The sequence below is a fragment of the Homo sapiens genome, chromosome 12, assembly GCF_000001405.40.
Source record: "Homo sapiens chromosome 12, GRCh38.p14 Primary Assembly".
In the NCBI taxonomy this organism is placed as follows: domain Eukaryota; kingdom Metazoa; phylum Chordata; class Mammalia; order Primates; family Hominidae; genus Homo; species Homo sapiens.
This window is the reverse complement of record NC_000012.12, coordinates 45,322,435-45,345,294: the sequence shown is the minus strand read 5'-3', so window position 1 is coordinate 45,345,294 and position 22,860 is coordinate 45,322,435. Positions and strand designations below refer to the sequence as shown.

Here is a 22,860-nt window from a genome sequence, read left to right as displayed (position 1 = left end):
TAAAAGAATATACCTGGTATTTGGCTACATTTGAGTCCAAGTGGAATCCCTGATGTATTGTGTTGAAGTATCAGAAAAAGGATATTGCTTTGTTTTTATATCTTTAATAAATGGTTGTACAGTACTTAAAACATGCCAGACACTGTTCTAAGAGCTGTTCAGATATAGTACATTTAACTATTGGCTGCAATTTGAACATACAATAGAGTAGCAGAGGAAACCAGCAAGTGGTATAACTTCCCTAAACACAAGCAAATGGCCTAGAAATGCCCCACTCAGATAGGGGTAAGGAGAGTTTGAGGTATAGCTTTCCTACTCCGCTCCCCAAAAGTGACTGTTCCCTCTGGGTGTCCCCTTCCCCACCAGCTCCGCAATTCATCCTGAGAAGTTCTTCAGCACTTTCCACCCCTGACCCACCATATTCCCAACTTGAACTTGAAAGTTGACTCAGATTCATTCTACTTCTTATCTAAGCAGTACTCCTTCCCTCTAAATCCTAATCCTCTCATTTTGATTCTTACATAGGAGCCCAGTCCTTATTTCTGACTGATTACCTCTTTATTATTGGGTAAAGCATTTTGATCCCACAGACAGCATTCACCAGTATATGCCCGACATGGTTTCGATTTGTGTCTTTGCCCAAATGTCATGTCGAACTGTAATCTCCAATGTTAGGGGAGGGGCCTGATGGGGGTGATTTAATCATGGGGGCGGATTTCCCCCCTTGCTGTTCTTGTGATAGTGAGTTCTCACGAGATCTGGTTGTTTAAAAGTTTGTAGCATCTCCCCTTTGCTCTTGTCCTCCGACTCCAGATATGTAAGATGTGCCTTCTTCCTCTGCCATGATTGGAAGTTTCCTGAGGCCTCCTGTACAGCCTGCAGAACTGTGAGCCATTTAAACCTCGTCTTTATAAATTACCCAGTCTCGGGTAGTTCTTTATAGCAATGTGACAACTAATACAATGCCTAACACATATTTGTTGAAAGAATATACTCAACAAGCATTAGTTCATTTACAAACATTTCTTGAGTGCCTTTTATTTTGCAGGCATCCTGCAAAGTACTGGAGACTGAAAGAATTTAAAATAGTCTGCTACAGAGGAAATATAGAGAAACTTAGCATCCAGTGACCTAAGACTTTCTCCTGATACAGAATGACTGAAACGTTTATTCATGTGCTTTCTGGCACTGTAATGGACATCTGTCATTCTTTATGGACACCCATTTTAAACTCCTACAAGAGCCCACATCCATTATAGCAGATAAAAACACAGACACTCCTTTTCGTGGTCTCCCATGAAATTCAGCTACTGGCACTCGAGCTAGGCCCCGCCAACCAGACTACCTGGCTCCAGGCTCCAAATTGAATGCTAGTGATGCAAAGCCAGGCCAAGCAGAATACATTCTGGGGTGGCTGAGAGAGCAAATGCCAGTTCCAGAGATGGTAGAGGTTACGGCAGGAGCTGTCCATAGCTACTGCTAGTCAGTGGTGCCAGCGGTGCTGGCAGCAGCCCTGTGCTCAGGACAGCAACTGTGCTTTTTCTCCTGTGGCAGGATTTAAGGTACTGCTTCTGGCTGCCTATCTCTAACCTTATTTATCTAACCCATCAGGAGAATTTGTGAGTTCTCTAACATTTTTCTGATAAACTCCTGATCTGCTTAAATTACAGCTCATTTATGATACTGGTAAGTAAGAATCCTGACTAACAGAGTGGTTGCAAACTAGGGAAAACGTGTTAGACCAAAACCTAAAACATGGTACAGTAGAGGGATGGAGTATTCTGAAAGGACCAGACACTGTGACATTCTTTCCTTCAGGGGAGATGACTCACCCTGAGGCTGTACAAAGGGCAACCCAGATGGTCTCACTAGCAGGTCATAGCAGGATCCATGCCTGTGTCTTTGGTATCCTCTAAAATTCAGTCATGAATTTCAGTTAGCATGTGAAAGCTCAGGCCCAAGAATTTTAGCTCTTGGAGACAAATGTCTTCATTAGAAGAGTAGGAGAATCAGTCAGAAGAGGGTCTTCTCCAGTGGCTTGATGAGTGTTTTAACAATAAGTGCTGGTAGGGAAAAAAATCATGTAACTCTGTTCAATGGCCTTATTACAAATTCATGGTTCCCATCACAGTTGGGCTGTCTCCTTCCTGGCCCCTAGCTATCCACTAGGGAGCTGTTCCAAACTTTTAAGGTGCTCCTTACGCTCATTACCTAACTTCCAGCCCAGCATGCTCGCAAGTGACCTCACCTCCTTCCTTACAGAGAAAAGGGCAGCCACTCACTGGAAATTCCTGCCAGTCTCTTTCTTTCTACCTATCAGTAGTTGGGCACCACCTCTCTTCTTGGTGTCAGAAGTCTATCCTTTCATCTCTCTTCTTGAGCTTACTTGGGCAATACCTCCCATTTTTCTCTTCATTGCTCTTACTCCTCTGCCAAAAAACACCTTAAATGTTTCCCAATGTTAAGAATATTAAATCCTCCCATGGCCCTGCCTACTGTTCAATTACTGCCCTTACTTCAGTGGTGTCTTTTAATCTTGATATCATTAACACTTAAAACAAGCCTATAACAGAGTAAGCACACAATAAATGTCTGATGAATGAATAAACTGAGTGAATAGTGGATCGATGACTGCCTGTTAAGCCGGAATGAACTAAGGAGTGTAAATGGCTGCAGTGCAGCAACTGCAGCCCCCCAAATTTTCTGAGCCCCCCAAATTTTCCATGTACTTTTACTTATGGCTATTACAGGACATGGTGTAGAAAGAGAGATGCAGTTTAATTCTGAAGTACACCAACACCAGATAGAGAGCATAGGGGCATCCACAGCATGAAGTGATTCCTGGACGCTTCAGAATTTGAATTACCAGATGACAAAAGGAATGAGGCTTAGACAGCCCAGAATGAGCCAGCCCCACACGAGGGCAGTTCTGTCAAACATACCAAACACAAAATATTTCTGTCTTGGTTGTATCAGCTGTATCAGCTATGAATGCAACATGCTGAATAGTGCAAGTCAGACATGTACCTTCTTGATGGAGTTTCTAAACTGAGGCTACAACTCATCACCTTCAAGGGACTCTCTCTTCTCGGATTTTGTTCCAACAAACAGCCCCTGTAGCTCTTGCAGTTTTGGTTTTCCTGTTACTCCTGGGCATAGTGGCTAGATTCAGAGTCAAAATGGAAATCCTGACTCTGCCATTTACTAGCTCTGTGATGTTTGGGCAAATAATCAACTCTATAATCATCAGCAGTTTCATCTAAAAGATAGAGGGAAAAAACAGCTTCATTTTGGGATTGTTTTAAGGATTAAGCATGATCATGGGCATAAAGCACTCGGCATGATGCTTGGCATATGATAAGCGCTGTAGATATGTCAGCCATCACCATTACCTTCTCTCTGCCTTTTAACATGCTCGACTTCCCTTATTCCTTAAAAAAAAAGAAATTCTCTCTGTTCTGCAGGGCTTAGAGGCTCATCTCTGTTTTAAATACCAAATATCTGACAAAACAGGCAACCCCACTCACTCTGCCTCTACACCATGCACCCAATGACCCTTCGTCCCTGCAGTGGGACACCAGTACGTCATTTTACAGGAACACTATGAGAGTCACCTAGACTCCCCCTTGACTCTTCTACACCACTTGGCTATCCTGATCTTCAGGCTACCTTCTTTGATATCTGATGGATATCTATCTTTTCCTTCTCTGAAGGATGTGAACATATCTTTTTGTCTCTTCTCTTTTGCCTCATGTCTATTATAAGGTAGGTCACTGATGAGAATGTATAGCACATATGAATATCATAGACGCAGAAAACACTAGAAATACTTCCCTTCAATCTCATTTTAAGAGCTTGATAATATTCTCTCAGAGAGATGTACCATTATTTATTTAACCAATTTCAAATGGCTGGATATTTAGGTGGTTTCTACCTTTTTGCTATTATGAAAAATCTTGTGCATCCATTATTGTTTCCTCAGGATAAGGTCCTAAAAGTAAAATTGTTAAAGAGTGTATTCAATTTTAAGTTCTTTAATATGTATTGCTGTACTGCCCTCCAGAAAGGTTGTACTAATTTATTCTATTTTAGTTCTTTACAAAGAACTCCTGAGATATTTACCTGATTTCTCTCAGGATAATTGGTAGACCTTGGAGTTGGTTTATAATGCCCTCCATTTTACCACCAACTATAAATACTTAAAACAGTTGTATCAAGGATAGGACATTTTTATTTGCTTAAACACATTAATATATCACCTTGGTGTTACTTTAATAAGACAGTTCTTGTTATTTTCTTTTGGCATGGCAATTCACAAATAACTAGTGGAATACTTAAAAAATTGATCAAACCAGTTTTCTTGGTTTGTCAGGTAGCTAAAGTAAATTAGCATATGTGCTATATTTGTCAAATAGGCACATATCAGGAAAGGACTGCTTACTTAAGAAAAGATTGCTTAAGTCTCTTTAACATGAAATCATCTTTACTTCACTGTAGAATTTACACTTGGATAAGTAACAGTGTTCTTGACATTTAAAAAATTAGGGTAGAGCTGTCTTCCATGTTAAAAATGAAAGATAATTAATATTGCATATTGGCTGACATAGCCATTGCTCAATAAATATTTGCTGAATAAATGAATACCTGAGGCCACACAATTTTAAAGTAAAAATTATCTATGTGCCTTACTGGAAACCTTATACATAAGAACCTAAACTGATAGTCTATGATCTTTATTTGGCAGCATAAAATGTTTAAACGAGGCTCACTGACTAAAAAAACAAAAAAGGCTAGTCATAAATTAACCTGTGTTGTAAATGTGTACATCTCTATGGGAGCAAATTCATTTGCAGTGCAACCACATTTTATTTTTTAACCTACTAGAATTCTAGTAAAGCCAAAGTGACTGTAATCACTGAGGACCTAGGTACATCACAAAATGATGCATGTGATTCTATTACTGATGGTGGAGAATGGTACTGGAGGTTCAAGGTGAAAAAGGACAAAAGCACCTGCCACACTCCAGAAACCAGTATCTTATTCATACCTCTTTTGAGAGGTTAATAAAGCTGTCAGGGAAATAAAGAATAAAGCAATCAAAATCACAAAGGACAGACTGGCATAATTAAGGAAGCTTTCTATCCCTACGCACCCTAGATTACACATTACACATTACACATCTCATTTGGCTTAGTAAAGTCATTGTTGTGAAGGACTTACTTGCGAATTACACAGTAATAGTACTGATTGTAAACACAAATATCTACCATTTTCTTTCTATTACCCACCTTTTTCAGTGTAAAAAGCAGGGACTGCAATGTCTAAGTAGTAAAATTAATGAATATACTATGATGATAAAGTAGAAACCAGTTGGGATTAATGAAATATATGAATAGATTGATTTCAAATATTCTTATAGCTTTGTTAGGCAAAGTATTGATGGTGCTGTCATTGTATTTTCAACTTGCCAATCTTTTTTTAACCTACAAAAACGCAAGAGAAATACATCATAGGTACTTAATTTGTGGAAAAAAAATTAGTCTAATTACTGTGCTATTTATTAGTTCTCCCGAAGGTTTGGTAAGCAGAATACATTATTTAATCAGAACTTAATTTAAATTCACGTGTTGGTGATAAAAACATTTAATGTTAGTGGACTGATCTGATGAGGAATTTACTCAACTGAGTAATGTATGTTCACTAGGGGACAAAAAACAGACGAGCATTTTAAATGATAAACATAGGATGGAGTGAATATTTAGCTGAAGTTCACTTCCAAATACGACTTTTAAATCAAATCACAAAAGAAATAAATGCTCATTCTGAGTAACACAGAAAACAAATTTTCAAAGAAGAAAAAATAAACACCCATAATTCACTGCCAAGATAACTATTCTATTAATTAAGTGTACAATAAAGTTTTTCAGTAAAGTGTTTTCCAAACTTATCTGCTTAAAGGAACAACTTTGGAGAGCTTATTTAAAATGTAGATTCTTGAACCTCTCCCCTGGAAGTACTGACTCAGCATGTATGGGATGGGGCCTGGACAATCTATTTTTAACAAGCAACCCAGGTGACTTCTCATAGGACAAGTTTAGTAAATCCTATTTTCTAGGACACACCTTTTTCTGTGCATATATGCATGTACAAGTGCACACAAGCAGCTATTCTTTTGTGATGATTTATCCCTGTCAAGCCTGTTTTATGAGAGAATTTGGTATAGCTGATTTTTGCCAATCCTGCTGTACCCCTTTACAGATGATCTTTTAAAAAGGTGACACATTTGCCCTGCTGGTACCAGGTAAATGACAGCCTCTTCATTCAACCTACAGCCAGACCTCAGGAGGAGCAATCAGAAAAAGGGTTTTCTCTTCTCCATGTCTTTGTGAACTCGTTGTTAATTCCCCCAGTAGGATAAAATAGAATAATCAGGTCTTGCTTTTCAGAATTTCATTGTCCTCTCTGTTTTTAAGGCTTCAGCCCAGAGATACTTCCCATTTTGGAAATAAGAAGCAAGAATTGGATTCATTGCTCTTGGTGGTAATACTCAAAAATAAAACCAAATGTGCTTATACCAGCAACGCATTTCATAGCTGTAATTTGAAACTGCTGATTCTAATTTAATTTATTCCTTTTTACCTACAATCTTAGCATAAACAAGTAGACTGTAAAGCAAGGGAAAAGATAAAAATATAAAGACCTCCCTGCTTTAGTCTAAAATATTTAGGAGCTAAAGATAGATCTGACTTCACTCCCTAAAACAAAAGACAGAACACCTGCCAAAAGTTAGCTGGGAAGTAAAACCACCCAACACTGGCTGCCATATCTCTTACTGAGCCTATCTTAACATGAGGCTCAAGTTTCCAATTCATGAACTACCTGTTGCAAATGTCATTCCCAGGCAAACTTTCCACGCTGTTCTGATTCCTCATAGTGCCCCTCACCTTCTGCTGTCCCTTTATTTCTTCAATTTGAAGAAGGTAAGCCAATTTTTAGTCTATGCAATCATGCCTTCCTCTTTATGAGGATTCATGAGACAAATTTTTCTCAGGAGGATCTTTCCTACCAGAACACTGTGTTGCTTTGGAACAACCAGTTTTGTTTTTATTGTGATGAAACTTTAAATTATGTTATTAATAAAATCCTCTTATATTCTTTGGCAACTAAGAAGTTGAGAGGCAAATTTGCAGCTGATCTCTAACTTCTGAACAAGAACTTATGGTTGATAATAAATCATTTTATTACTCTGACACATGGCTTCATTTTATTTTTCTGGCTTTTATATTTCTTTTACCCTGATTTAGTCTTTAATTACTTTCATTCTTGATATATTTCCATAGGTGACCTTAAATACTTTTTTTCCACTTCCCTCCTAACATTTATATTTATTTTAATTGATAAATAAAAATGTTATGTATAACATGTTTTAAAATATGCATATATAATGGAAGCCAAAATCAAGCTGATTAACATATGCATTTACACGTCACAAACTTTTGTGGTAAAAACACTTAAAATCTACTCCTTAGCAGTTTTCAAGAATATATTATCAAATAGAGTCAGCTGTACAATAGTTCTCCTAATCTTATCCCTCTTATCTAACTAAAATTTTGTATCCTTTGACCAACATCTCCCCAACATCCTCTCACCTCCAGCCCCTGCTAATCACTATTCTATTATCTACTTCTATGAATTCAACTTTTTTTACACTCAATATGTAAGCATCGAATACTATTTAATAAATTATAAATTCATTCATGCATTGCTTAACAACAGGGATACGTTCTGAGAATGTGATTTCATCTTTGTGTGAACACCATAGAGTGTACATATGAACATACACAAACCTAGAAGGTGTAGCCTACCATACACCTAGGGTATATGGAATGGCCTGCCGCTCTCAGGCTACAATCCTGCACTGCATGAGACTGAGCTGAACACCACAGGCAGCTGTAACACCATGGTAAGTATTTGTGTATCTTAATATAGAAAAGCTACAGTAAAAATACTGTATAAACATTTTACAGATGGTATACCAGTTTAGGGCAGTTATCATGAATGGAGCTTGCAGGCATGGAAGTTGCTGTGGGTGAGTCAGCAAGTGAGTGGTGACTGAACCTGAAGGCTTAAGACATTATGTGCACTACTGCAGACTTTATAACACTGCTCACTTAGCTTAAAACACAAACACACTCTACAGCTGTACAAAACTTCTTTCTTTATATCCTTATTCTATTGCAAATATTTTTCTATCTTTAATTTTTAACTTTTTAAACTTTTTTGTTGAAAACTAAGACACAAATACACACATTAGCTAGGCCTACACAGGGTCAGGATCATCAGTATCACTGTCTTCCACCTCCACATCTTGTCTCACTGGAAGGTCTTCAGGGGCAGGAACAGAAATAGAGCTGTCATCTCCTGTGATAACAGTGCCTTCTTTTGGAATACCTCCTGAAGTACCTGCCTGAGGCTGTTTTACAGTTAACTTCCTTTTTTTATTTATTTTTTATAAGTAGGAATATACTCTAAAATAATGATAAAAAGTATACTTTTAAAATATATTATAGTATAGTAAACACATAAACCAGTAACATAGTCATTTATTACCATTAACAAGCGTTCGGTACTATACATGATTGTATGTGCTATATTTTTATATGACTAGCAGCCCAGCCTAATAGGTTTGTTTATACCAGCATGACCACAGACATGTGAGTAATGCATTGCACTACCATGTTAAGACAGCTATGATGTCACTAGGCAACAGGAATTTTTCAGCTGTGTTACAATCTTAAGAGGCATCATGGTATATGTGGTACATTGTTGACTGAAACATCATTAAGCAACTTATGACCATACATAAATAATTTAATGTAGTATTAACATAAATAAGTAGGGTGCTAATAACTATAAAAAGTACACATTGTATATTAAAGCTAATAAATGAATGCTTTGAGTTATACTATACTATCAGTTATAATACTATCTTATTAGGCAAAAATAACCAAATACTTAATATGCATAAGACTTAATGAGGAACCAAGCCATATGATCACCTCAATAGATATAAGAAAAAGCATTTGATAAGCTTTAAAACCCAGTTATTATAAAAATGCTTAGCAATCTAGGACTAAAAGGGAACTCCTTTAACTTTTTAAAAGAAATCTATCAAAAATGTATGGCAAGTGTAATATTTAATAGTGAAATTTTAGAAACATTCCCATTAAAATCAGGAACAATACAATAGTGACTACTATGTGTATTGGTTTTGTTCAAGAGGTCATAGCCATTGCACTCAGACAAGAAAAAGAAAGTATAAATATGGCAAAGAAAGAACAAAATTGTCATCATTTGTAGACAATATGGTCTTCATTTGGGAAAATTAATAGTATTAGAAACTACTAAAACTAAAAAGAGCTTATCAAGGTTCTTAGCACTCACAGAAATCAATAGACTTCTTTTACACACAGTAAATCATAACTGCATTTAAAATGCCTCTGACAATAGCAACAAAAATTTTCAGTAATTGGAAAAAGTTAATAAAAATGTACAAGATCTGCATGGACACTACAGGTTGAATATCTCTTATCCAAAATGCTTGGAACTAGAAGTATTTCTAATTTTGGACTTTTTAAGAAATTGGAATATTTACATTATACTTACCAGCTGAGCATCCCACATCTGAAAATCCAAAATGATCCACTAAGCATTTCTTTTGAACGTCAAGTCAGCACTCAAAAAATTTTGCGTTTTGGTGCATTTTGGATTTGGGATGCTTAACCTGTATTATAAAGCTTTACTTAAAGGATAGTAGATCTCAATAAAAGGAGTGATATATCATGTTCATCATAGTAAAACTTTTTGGTAAGTTTTTAAACATTTCCCAAGAGATCTCATCCAGACTCTAGGAAAACTGTTCTGGTCTCATGATGATTAATCCAAAACAATGGATAACAGTTTTTAGAAGCTCACAGGCTCTATAACCAGTTAGTTGTCTCACGGTATTTGAAAGTTTGAATTAAATTATAATTAGATAAATTTAACTTTGATCACTAATTTTAAAAAAATTCTCTATCCTACAGTCTCCACTGGCCAGATCCTTTTGCCATACACTAAAGAATTCTTAAGGTCAGATATGAAATACAAATATATACTTCCATATATAAACTTTTCAACTTCAAGGACATAAATTTTCCATTAACTTTTAGGAATGGATAATTTTTTTAAAGTAAATAAATAAATCATATTCAGGGTTGTTCCCACTGTTTTTGTACTACCTAGACCTCTTCCCCATCTTCACCCTCATCTGAATTGTACCATTACTTGGTCACTAACACATCGGTTTGAAGGCAAGCATCAGACAAAACAAAATTCAAAAGATCAGTTCTGCCGATTGTTAGCAGTTCTGGAAGAAAGCAGCAATTACTAACAAAACTGAGCAAGAGGAGTTGGAGAAATATATGGGAATTTGTTTTATGTAAAACATCTTTGCTCTTTACAATATGGATCAAACATATTTAGATATATTTAATCATCTACTGTGCCAGATACTGCTGGCTGCCTACGGAACAGCCATTCTCCCCTCTTTATTACTAAGAAAAGCCTGCTTGTTCTTTAGGTATTCTGTGATCAGGTGACTCAAGAGATGAAAGACCAATCCTATGCAATAATTCCATTCATATTTCCAGTAGTTGATTTAGGAAGAGACTTGTAACAGACAATGAATTGTGAAAGGAAATCTGCAAAGGGCCCTTCCAGAGGAGCTTTCTTCCCTCTTAAAAAACAGCCCTGAGAAGGGGCATTCCTTCTCTCTGCCTCTGGCTACCTGGAGTTGCAGCAGCCATCTTAAAATCAAGGGAAGACAATTTAAGAGCCAAAATATTGAGGATGGCAGAGCAGGAGGATGGAATGACTTCATTGAGCCAATAAACTAATCCAGAAATGGCTGTATCTCTAGACTACTTAAATGAGAAAATAATTATTTCCTTTTAGCATTTAAGCCATTTTGAGTTTGGTTTTCCTGTTATTTGTGATTTAAAACATTCAAACATTCTGTGCCAAGCCCAGTACAGACTAAACGAGCGTTTGTTGCTGAAGCAACTTACAATCATCCTCATGTAAAATCTAAATGTAAATGGTTTATGCTTTTTAAAGGAAGGTATGTTTCTTAAGTGTTTTTGGTCATATGAGTGGCCCAAGTTACATGATATTTGGAGGTTTGGCTAGAAAATTATTTTCTTTTTGCTCAAAGGATGATACATCCTTTTAAATACTCTATGTTTTTGGTGTTTGTAGCCCTGTCACTTCTATCTTTCTCCAGCCCTATAAAGTGTTTAACAATATCCTTTAGATAAACTCTGGTGAAGTCAAGCTTGGGGTTGCTTTAGGAAATCAATATGGTTTACACATAAGTTTTTTTTCTTTCAAAGAAAACAGGATTTTGAATTGCCTTTCCTTGGTATTGTCCTAAATCCTCAATAAGGCCTGACAAGGAGTACAATGGAACTCACAAATGTTTTTCCAATGAAGAAAAACATGATTCCAAAGTTAAGCTTTGAATTTCGGTGAAGTATATATAAATTAAGTAATATGTGCAAATACAGTCTGAAAACACTTCAAAGCACAGCTTATAAAAATGAACATCAAGGTATATCAATCCATGAGTTCAAGGATTGCCAAAATTAATGATGATTTTTTTCCTCCTTATTTATGAGAGTTACCTTGGGACCTATGTTTCTGTCTGAAGCAAATGCAGAACTGATTAATGTAAGCAGCTCTAGGGCCCTTCATCATGGCAGTAAAGCTCTTGTTTAAAACCAGAACTGTTTCTTTTATACTTTAATGTATTAGATCTGTTTAACTTACTTTATATATTGCTCAATCCAGATCCATTGGCATATGGATACTTAATGAATATTTGATGATGGTGACTATGACTGCATAAAATATCTTAGTGTCCACAGGAAAATTAAAGTACCCTAAGCTGTTTTACTTTAGTGATAAAATTGTATAATAACAGGAAAGTCATGCCTTTTCATATCAGGGCATTATTTTAAGAAAATCCCAAATGGGAAGATACAAGAATTAAAATTTATGATCTAATAATGCTAAAAAATTATGTAACATCTATATGTTATTTTATTTAATCTTAACCATAATTATATAGGCTAAGTATTAGGATCCAATTTCCCTGAATCTAAGATGCCATTGATTGTATGGTGAGCCAATATTTTATGTATTAATAAGAAAAAATTCAACAATGAAATTATGATACAGCATTTGTAAGATCCAACTGATTTTAGAGATGTCAAACATAAAAAAGAAAAAAAAAATTGATTTGAAAATTTGCCTAAGTCACATAGCTACCCAGCCAGAAACGATACTTTCCACTCTTCTGAGTTCTGACCAGTAGCATATGAGCACAACTGATGTAGTTACTTTGAGGCCAAAGTGGTAAAGCAGCATGAGTACTTTCTTCATCTTATCTACCATTTATCTATGTTGATATTCGGGATGACCCGGGAGTCTACCTGGCGAATATGGCAGAGCTTCTGTCAGGCTTGGGTTTCTTGATAACTGCAAAGGACAGAGGCCCAACCCCAAACTATGTGCCAAACAGGGATGCTACATTTGACCTTGACGTGAACAATAAACACTCTGTTTTTGTGTTAAGTCCCTGTCATCTGGGAGCTTGTTTGTTACAACTAGAATTACTCCAACAGAGTGGCAGAATTAGAACTTGAAGGTCAGTTTCCAAAGTCTGGGCTCATTCTATTCCACCATGCAAATATAAAATGCCAAACTTAACCCCCTCTGAAACAAACAGATGAATAAAACAGTACTGATTACTTCATTTTTTAAAAGGTTTTATCGCTTGATTTGAAAGAATGGGCAAAAATCAATAGATTTAAAGTTGGCATATTTCAAGGAGACAGTCTAGACAGGGACAATTAAAGTTTTGTGTGTGTGTGTGTGTGTGTGAGAGAGAGAGAGAGAGAACAGAGAGAGAGGGAGAGAGCACACATATATGTGAAAAGGGGAAGAAAAAAAGGATGAGGAATGATTTCTAAAGTGGGTGAAAGTAACACATATATGCAATCTTTTTTGGTCTGTTTTAGTTTAATGCAGTTTAGGTACAGGTAAAAACGTTCCAGGGAGTTGTTTATAAACCTGCCCTACTGTTTTAATATCCTGAGATAAAGATGGCCTTTTACTTAAAAAAGCTTGGTGCAAAGGAAAGGGAGAAGAGAGCAGCTTGACTGGCAATGCAATGAATGAAAGGGAGGTAACAGAGAAAAATGCGAGGTCAAGAGCAGTCTCCATATTCAAGACAGTTTGAACCATGGCTTCACCACTTGCTAGACTAGATTCCATGACCTTGTATATTCATCTAACCTAAGGGTCATCTCTATCATCCATAAAATGGTGTGATTATAGAACCCACTTCATGCTGTATGAAAGGAGAACACGTATGCAAATGTATGTACAATACCTGAGTGAGCACACATTGAAAGCTAGTTGTTATTACACTTGTCATTATTAATCATTAGCTTCCTATGCCACCTAATTGAATAGCCAGGCATGCTTAAGGTAAATCTCTTCTGTACAATAGAAAGTCCAATTCCTTGAAAGAAAGTCTGCTTTCAGCTGTGAAACCAAATGAGGTTAAGAGCCTGAGGAAGTTTCTGATTCATATTTAAAAAACGTTTTGTTAATATGCTTTGAGAAAACATGAGCAGAGAAAATATGAAACTGTTTTGTGTATGATATTTCAACATCAGTTTCACTTTATTACTTATACAAAATAGCAGTTTTTTCATGTTACAATATAAGAAATAAAAAGAAAGGAAAATAGCATAAAAACTTACCCTTTGTTTTTCATTTGTACCCTTTTTATTGGTCTCTTTTCTGCTTTCATCCTCATATACTAGAACAAAGTCAATTCTTCGCTGGCCATCATTAAAAAAGAGGGAGTCAGGTTTTCCATTAAATTCTTCCTGTGTAAAACAGAAAAACAAATTGTAATATATAATTTTTTGAAAAAATGCTGACTTATAAGTGTTAATTTTCAAGCTTTAATAGGTTTATTGTGAAAGAGAAATACATCCACTACTAGTTAGCTTACCAAACAGTCATGGCCACTATGACTGACATGGCAAACATGGTCTATTCTTGGTGAAAGGAAGTATTTGAATTGAACAGTACAGCATTATTCTATAAACTCATGAGAACATGTCAATATTACATATGTAACACAATCATCCCAGAATTATTTTCACCTCAAGCAGCAAAGGCATATCAAGATTGAAAACGAACATAGTAAAAAAAACTGCCTATCCAAGGGAGTGAAGTTTATTTAACAAGAAGAAAAATCTAAGACAAAGCACTGTTGATGAAAATCTCATCCTTCTTATGTCTTATTTTCTAACCTTTTACCATTTTTCATGACTTCTTTTTGGACTTACTTCACCGCTTTATAGAAGGTATCATGGGACAACTTCAAACAAATGCCAAAAGATACTCCCATATAAACAAAAGCTGCACTAGTCATTGGTGTTCGTCCCCTAATCTACAAATGATGTCCCTCATTCCTAGCAAACAAATTTTAAAAAACCAAAAGAACCAGCAACAACAAAATATAGAAGCCTTTAGTTTAGAGCTTAAAATCCTTATGGTTTAAAAGGAAATGATGGCAGAACAGAGACCAAATACAAAAATACCTGTGAACATATGGAGTTGGATAGAATTGTTCTAATTTACTCTGAGGAATGATTTGAATTTGTGTTCTCACACAGCTTGTCAGAATGCTCATGTTAATTTTGTTAAGAATCGACTGCTTTTTAACTACGTGATACTGAAAAGTTTTCTATGATTCATTAAAAACTGATAAGATTTCATTTTGCAATCATTTGTATAACTTGTACATTGTGTTCATTAAATGTGATTAATTCTCCTCTTCATTATCGATTAGCACAGAAGCTACACAATTTTACCACACACCACTTTCTCCTTTTCTTCTCACTTTTGAAAACATATTTTTTGATACTTATATGAAACGTGATATTTATCATTCCTTTCCCCTTTTCCACTGTGGAACACATGAAGGTTTATTACCAGTATCTGAAGTTCCTAATTGGCAGGTTTTTTCACCAGCAGAATGAATGCTGCTGATGTAACCCATCTCAATGCACCTTCATCCAGTGCATTTAACCAGGAATTCTAAGCACAAACAGCGTGACTGCCATGAGACCTTTCCTATCCAGGGCAATAAAGGGCTAGGAAAACAAAGACACATCCATGTCTTAGGCTGATATCACTATCCAATTCTTATATTTGCAATTTCAGTTATTTCAAATCAATAAACTTTAAGAGTATTTAAAACTATATGAAAATGCTGAGCCATGTCTTTTTCATTTCAGCCACAGAGTCCTTTAGGTCCATTCAATTTCTCTTACTTTCAATGAGGACTATACTATGGGTGACAACCAGGGCTATTGCTAGAGGAAAATTGTGCATGGAGAAAAATATATATATATAATTTCTCAGAAGAACAAAGGGGAAGTGGGGTCCAGTGGAATATAGTCAGGAAAACCTGGTCATCATTGCAAACATCTGAAAAATGTACAAAAAGCAACTTGTTCTCTGTAGCCCACATTCTGTTGCCTTTGGTGGAGTCCAGCAGGAGCTCACGGAAGTTAAGTTCTGAAGAATTAGGCCTGGAATGAGAACCACATCTGTACATGGCTCCAGGCACTCTTCCCTTGCACAGTGGCACAGGTTGGCAGTTAGCTCCCAGATAATCTGGTCTGCATGCAAACCTCCCATGTGTGATGCAAGACCATGGCCCTTTATTTGGAGGAAAACCTCACTGACTTGGCAACATTTGCCTGTGTGTAATAAGTAGGTCAAACTCCAATATGGTACTATTAGAATGCAATACTAGAGAAAAGAGTGCCAGTCTCTACTGCTGTGAAATCCAGGTTTCCTATCTCTTGGCAGAAGACATTCTACCACATAATGGGGAAAAAGGGAGAAACTAATATCACTAGCCTGGAAAGAATATGTAACAAATAACGGAACTGGCCTAAATAAAAACAGATAGTTAAAATGCTGAAGTTAAATTATTTGTCCAAGATCTGAATAAAAGCAGTCAGATTAGGATCTTTGCTCAAATTCTTGTTCATGTGTAAGGGTGTTTGAAAGTTGCCTTGGACAGCAAGTGAGATTGACTTACTGTATGGGAATTCCCAAATAGCCTATTCCTCCCCTGACACGGTTGTCATTTACTGAGATTGGAGAGTATTCCAGGCTCATTTGGGTTAATGGTCTCTCAACCTTTACGCCTAGCAGGATGCAAGAAAGGTTTACTGTCTAACAATAAAGTTGAAGAATTACACTACGAAAAGTAAGTATCAAAACATTCACATAATTTGAATTGTAACTGATGTGCAAATATGGAAAAAACATGGGGCTCTCTACAATTTTTAAGACAAGAAAAAGTAGTTAATTCCAAGAAGAACACAAAGGGAAAAAAACTGTAATAATAGACAACTACTAAAGTAAAAATATGGAATCTTCTATTTTTCAGTAAATTGTGAATCCAGGTACATAGCAAGTTCTAGGGAAACAAAAGATTAGAAGCAAAAGCCTTTACGTAAATATTTAGATTTCTCAAAATATGAAACATAATAAAATTTTATTTACATGCTATGCAGTTATGAATGACACATATTCCTAAGTGTTTTTCCTAACTGTTGCAGAGCTCAGGCATCAGAGTCAAGGCATGAGTAATAAGTAGAACGTTTTTTCCAACAAAACGGTGCAAAAATATTGCAGAGATAGAAGACACTAGATCAAATTTTTTTCATTTTTATCAAAATGCAAACTACAAAGTTCAAGAAAAACAGTAATAATTGAGCCAAAAAAGTGCCAAGAACTGCAGGTATGGAAGGCTGACTTCCGAAGGTGGAAAGACAAGTATTGTGGAAGCTGGGGTGGGGAGGAAAGGAAGTAACATAGTAACTCTGGACACACAGGGGAGCCACACAGGAAGTCAGCTCAGTAAATGGTGTGTGCTGTAGGGAGTAAATGAGCTTGTTTTTGACCTGACCAGGCATTCAGGAATGTGCAGACAGCAAAGAAGCACAGTGGAAAAGGAGCCCATTCAAGGATGAAAATGCATCCTGAAGCTTGGACTCCAAGTCTGTTTTAGAGTCAAATGTGTCAGGATGTTCCAAGAACATCCCTTGGTTGTGACTCTATGATGATCAAGGTGTACTCAGGAATGGCCCAGAATGATTTTTGTACAAGTCACACTGTCTGCTTCCTGCCCTGTTAAACCACACTATCAGCTTCTGAAGATTAGTGGCCAGGTCTGGCTTGTTCACCGTGAGTTCTCTGCTGAGAACTCAAGGGCTCAGGTTTATTTTTTTCTTAGAATAAAATTTTTTTTTCTGATAAAATATATACTCAACACAAAAAAATTCTGAAGATCCAAAAATGTATACAGAAAAAATAAAAGTCATATGTAATCCCATCTCCTAGACATGAGCTAAGTTTCTTAAAATTTTGGAGTACATCCTTTCAGGCTTAGATGGACATACATGCATGCAAGAGCACACAAACACACTAACCAAAATGATACCATATTATACATACTGTTTTATAAACATCTATTATAGACACTTGCTAGCTTTATAGAAAGCTTTACAACATGTGTAATAGCTGCAATATAATTTAGTAAAACAGTTCCTCCACTGATGAGCACAGAAGTAGTCTCCAATTTTCTGCCTTTATAAACACTGCTGCAATGAGCATCTTTGTACATATGTATCTGTGCACATGTTCAATTACTAAATTCCAGAAGCAGATTTTAAGTGGCACAGCCTTTTTAAAAGCTTTTGATACACTGGTTGCTAAACTGTCATCCAAAATATTTATAAAATCAACGTATCCACCAGAGGGTATGAGTGCTTTGCTCCACCCTCATTTGACTTCAGTGTTTTCTACTTTTCCCAATATGATAGTCAAAATATGTATTTTGTTTTTTTCATGTACACCTTTTAACTAGAGAGCTCTAACTTTGCTATGGATACTGCCCAAATGAAATACTCTTTTTTTTTGTGGAGTGCTTATTACTATCTTTCACTTATTTGAACAATCTTATTATTTAAACACTTTTCAGTAGATTGTCTTGGGTCTTCTTACTGATGAAATCCTGAAAACCACACAGGTAACTGAGTAAGTGGGGTAAAGGGCAATACAGACTAGGCCTATATGATTCCATGTGGTTCAGTATGGGACTTCTGTCTGCTAAGAGAAGACTGCTAAGTGGGGGAGGGCACCAAATATCTCTTCAAAGGTAAGCACTCAACCTGAGTTATGGAGAGACTGGTTATGAGAGGTTCCTATGCATCCCTGGATGGTGCTTGCACCAAGCAATCCAAACCCAGAAATGGTGTGATTTACAGCCACTGTGAACCCTGGTATCCATTTGAACAGGTGGCTGAATAAGACAGCTTCAGAAGGGGCAGCAGCTGCTGGGAGTGGATGGTGTCCCAGCACAATCTGGGGTTGTGGTCATGAAAAACAAAATAGGAAATGATGTATACAGTGACCTTGAAAGAGTTCATTTTTACTAAATTAGTCCCAAAAGGAAAAGGGAGAAATATTTCAGGGCACCGTCAAGCAGCCCTGGGTTTAGCAAGGTGAGCATGTTTTCTGTAATGTGGACACTCAACTGGAATGTGGCATGCTAATTTTAGAAGGGCACCAGCCTGTTGACCGACTTTCCATTATAATTTACATGCCGCCTGCATAACTACCAGGTTATCAATTGTGTATTTTGACTCACATATTTCTTTAGATTCAAAACATACTACTTATTATTGGTACACAAATAATTTCTGTTGCAAGTTAAAATATGTAGAAATTCTTAAAAAACAGTCTTGTGTTTTATATAAGTAAATGGCTATAACTAGTCCTGAACTTGTTATTTTCAGTCATTTCTCATCAAGGATAGATGTAGTTCACTTATAAATACCATTAGATTGTGCCATGAAATGCCTTGTATGCAAGGGAATGTTCACATATCAATGGCTTCCTGATTTTACCTCTGTTTCCATTTGCCTGTGTTAAACTCTAGAGTTCTATCATTAGAATACCACATTTTAGACCCTGGTAAGGATGAAGGCGCAATGCCTTGAGCATAATGAGTATTAAATATTTCCCTCTAGTTCATGCCAAGGAAGCAGTACTTTTATCAAATGGAGTTCTCATAGGATTTTCAGTATTCTTTAAATTTCTGAAAAAGGGTAGAGGAAATATGAAAACAGAACTTTGAAATGACATTTAAAATAAAACTTCCTTAAATGTCATTAATTAACAAGGGTGGAAGATGCTGAGTTAGGAGCCTTCTTATGGGGTAGAGGACTCTTACTGAATCTTTTTCGTAAACCCACAGAGTTATAATTGTAATTTTCATTAGCATGACTAAATATATATATATTTGGCTTTCCTGTTTTCCCACAGACTTTTGATCATTTTAAAAATCTCAATTTAGCCTTCCTTAGAGGTGATCTGCAGAAAAGCAGAACAATAAATAGTCAATAAATGAAAAGAAAAAAATGTGAAAATGCCTATAGTGGTTGTTTTTATACTCTCCTTTTCTAGAAGACATCATCATCCATTTGCACTGTTCTCATCTGGAAGTGGTAATGTTGGTAAAAGAAATGTAGGAGAGATCAAACTTTAAGATATTCCCAATAAAGCATTACAAAAGATAGATATAATAAAACAAGACAGGTGGTAAAAAAGGACATTTGTGAGAGTGAATGATTATCCTCCTAGAGGCTAAACTCTTAAGGTTCAAATATCCTCAAGGCATCTTGCTTTAATATCCACTATGGACTTAATATCCAGCCATGCTTACTTCAAGCTTTTTTGACCCTGTGAGCATTTCCAGTTTGTACCGTCTCCTGAGGAATAATGATCTGTAGGTTTTCCACTTAGACAAGAGAGTTGTCCTAAATTACATTTCTAAACTTTTAAAGAAATAGCTCCAATCTTATATTCTGGAATCAGTTGGAACCAAAATAATATTGCTACAACCAGATTCTTTATGATTTAGTGAACTTTCACAATATTCTATCCACAAACTTTAAGATCCTTAGTTTTATGGAACAACAAATGTAGCTTGACTTCGTAACTGTATGTTCCCCTCTGCTCATCCTCTGATTCTTCTTAATTATATACTTCAACTATCTTTAGCTTACCTATGTTTGGTTCTTAGACCACAAAACTGGTCACGACTCACAAATACCAAATCAGTCACCAAATCGATAGCTGTGAATTGCCCACCTTTTCTAAGTCACCTGTGTCACATGTGACTGTGTCAAGTTAGTAGACACCTGTGTCAGGTTAGCAGTCCCTCAAATTTTAAGCTATAGCTATTTAGACTTAAGCTGAGATGAAGAAGATAAGTAAGGTGTAAGTGGGGGCATAACCAAAGTAGGAAGTCTTGGGTTCTTTACTAGGTTCTCAGATAATTCTTCTGCAGCTTCCCTTAATGTTACAATCTGTCACTCCCATAGTGACACATGTTTGAAAGTCATCTAAGGGTTTTTCCTGGTACAATTTCTTTGGTGAACTCATCTTTTACAGTAGGTTTCCATTTCCAGTCTTAGAACTGCCCTGGGCTATTTTTAGCTTTTCAGCTACTCAAGAGTGCTGTCATAATCTGTAATTCCCTAGTCAACCGCTTATGTCACATGTACCCCTGGGCCATAATCTCAGACGACTGCTCTGGAAATCAACGTTTGCAACTTCATTCAAAGCTAGAGGAAGAAAAACAAATCAGAGTACCTAGTGCCCAGCAAAGCAAAGGATTGTGACGATTCCTACCAGTTGATTCATGTTTTATATAGATATTACTTTTCTTCCTTTAACTCAAAAAGCAGTTTACAAGAATGGCTGTTCTTTGTGGTGTGGAAATAGGGATGCACAGATGTTTCCAAAACACAATTTTAAAAAATGAATGTCTCATTTAAAACAGTGGTGCAGGCCAAGCGTGGTGACTCACGCCTGTAATCCCAGCACTTTGGGAGGTCGAGGTGGCGGATCACCTGAGGTCAGGAGTTCGAGACCAGCCTCAACATGGAGAAACTCCGTCTCTACTAAAAATACAAAATTAGCCAGGCGTGGTGGTGCATGTCTGTAATCCCAGCTACTCGGGAGGCTGAGGCAGGAGAATTGCTTGAACCTGGGAGGCGGAGGTTGCAGTGAGCCAAGATCGTGCCATTGCACTCCAGCCTGGGCACCAAGAGCAAAATTCTGTCTCAAAAAAAAAAAAAAAAAAATACAACAACAACAACAAAAAAAAACAGTGATGAAAAAATGTTTTCAGCTGACTATAGATAGTAAATAAAAAAAAAACCTTACAAAACTCTCTTAAAAGAGGATATATTGAACATAAGCTATTATTATTTAGCAGGTAAATGAAAAGAGTCCAAAATGAGAATAAAGAACACAGACTTTGGTATCTGGCAGAGCTACTAGCTTCAAACCTTAACTATGCCATGTACAACTAGCCATGTGCCTTTGTGTGTATATTGTATCTCTTTAAAACTAAACTGACTCATTTGTAAAAAGGGAAAATCATAGAAAGGCAGGGTAATTGTGAAGATTAAGTGAGATGATGCATGCAAGGCAATGGCACAAAACCTGGAATATAGTAAAAGCTCAATAAATGTGAGCTTTCACAATGGTATTCTCTACCTTAATAGGTAACCGTTCTTTATTCATTACTACCTGTGTTGGGTACATTCACATAGCTCATAATCATCAGAAACTTCCACCTGCATCTTGCTTCTTCTCTCTGCTGTTACTCAGATTATCAGGGATTACTTCTTTTAGCTGTCTTTAATAGGTGTTGTGTTACCCTATTACCTGCTGCTTCTAACATGCTTTGAATTGGGCAACCAGATTAACTGAATTTGTTGAAATTCTCTCAAATTAAGGAGTAGTGCTTTGGTTTTGGACATCAGAGGCTTTTAGTCTTTCTTCAGATTCTGAGTAAAGTGTGATAAAGAGGAGGGCCTTATTCCACAAAAGAATAGAATATGTTAAGAGCGATTAAATTGTATTCTCCCCTTCTCCTAGCCTCTTTCAAAAGAAGACGTAAGACATCTGGTGTCAAGAAGAATAAATACAATACCATTAAAGAATTATAAACAGAACCAGAGCCAGAGAAGGTAGGAGGAAGAAAATGTACTAACCATTGAGACAATTGTAGTTGTCGTGATCTTAACATGAAAACTGGCACAAAGCCTCTTGGCAGCAGGGCAAAAGGAAAATACGTTCAATGATATAGTCCTGCTATTGGAAAAAAGGAAGCATTCTGATTTTTTGGGAGGATAAAGTCATATGTGGGACCATATATAAAAGCACCCAATTTTTTTTACATTTCCCTAATAGACAATGTCCTTGGCAAGCAGTTGGGGTTATGCAATATAAAATATAGGTGACCTTTGACTTTTTCATCTTTAGTTCTCATATTGCCTCTACCTCTGAGGCAGTTACTTTAGCTTTCAATCTGTTCCATCTATTGCCATCGTTCTAGTCTGTGCTCTTGACCGCTACTAATGAGGTTACAATTAACAACCCACTGGTCTCCTTGCATCCAGTTCTCCTGTTCACCAACTTACCTTTTACACTGCCACCAGAAAGATGTTCCTAAACCAATATGCTCAGCAAGTCACAGAAGGGGTCAAAAACCATTAGTTACTCTCAGCAACCTCTAGAGGAAGTCCAAACTTTTCAAATGCCTTATAATCTGATTATAGGCCACATTTTATAAAC

At 36.5% G+C, this 22,860-nt stretch overlaps 1 protein-coding gene across 6 annotated transcripts in view; it reads right to left on the bottom strand.

Annotated features, from left to right (window-relative positions):
- The window catches only part of ANO6 (anoctamin 6), a 224,310-nt gene that overhangs the window by 95,110 nt on the left and 106,340 nt on the right, over window positions 1-22,860 (bottom strand). For all 6 annotated transcript variants that reach the window (NM_001142679.2, NM_001204803.2, NM_001025356.3 and 3 more), the window contains one exon: window positions 13,872-14,000. In NM_001142679.2, coding sequence (NP_001136151.1) covers window positions 13,872-14,000 — 129 coding nt within the window. The remainder of the gene's footprint in view (window positions 1-13,871; window positions 14,001-22,860) is intronic.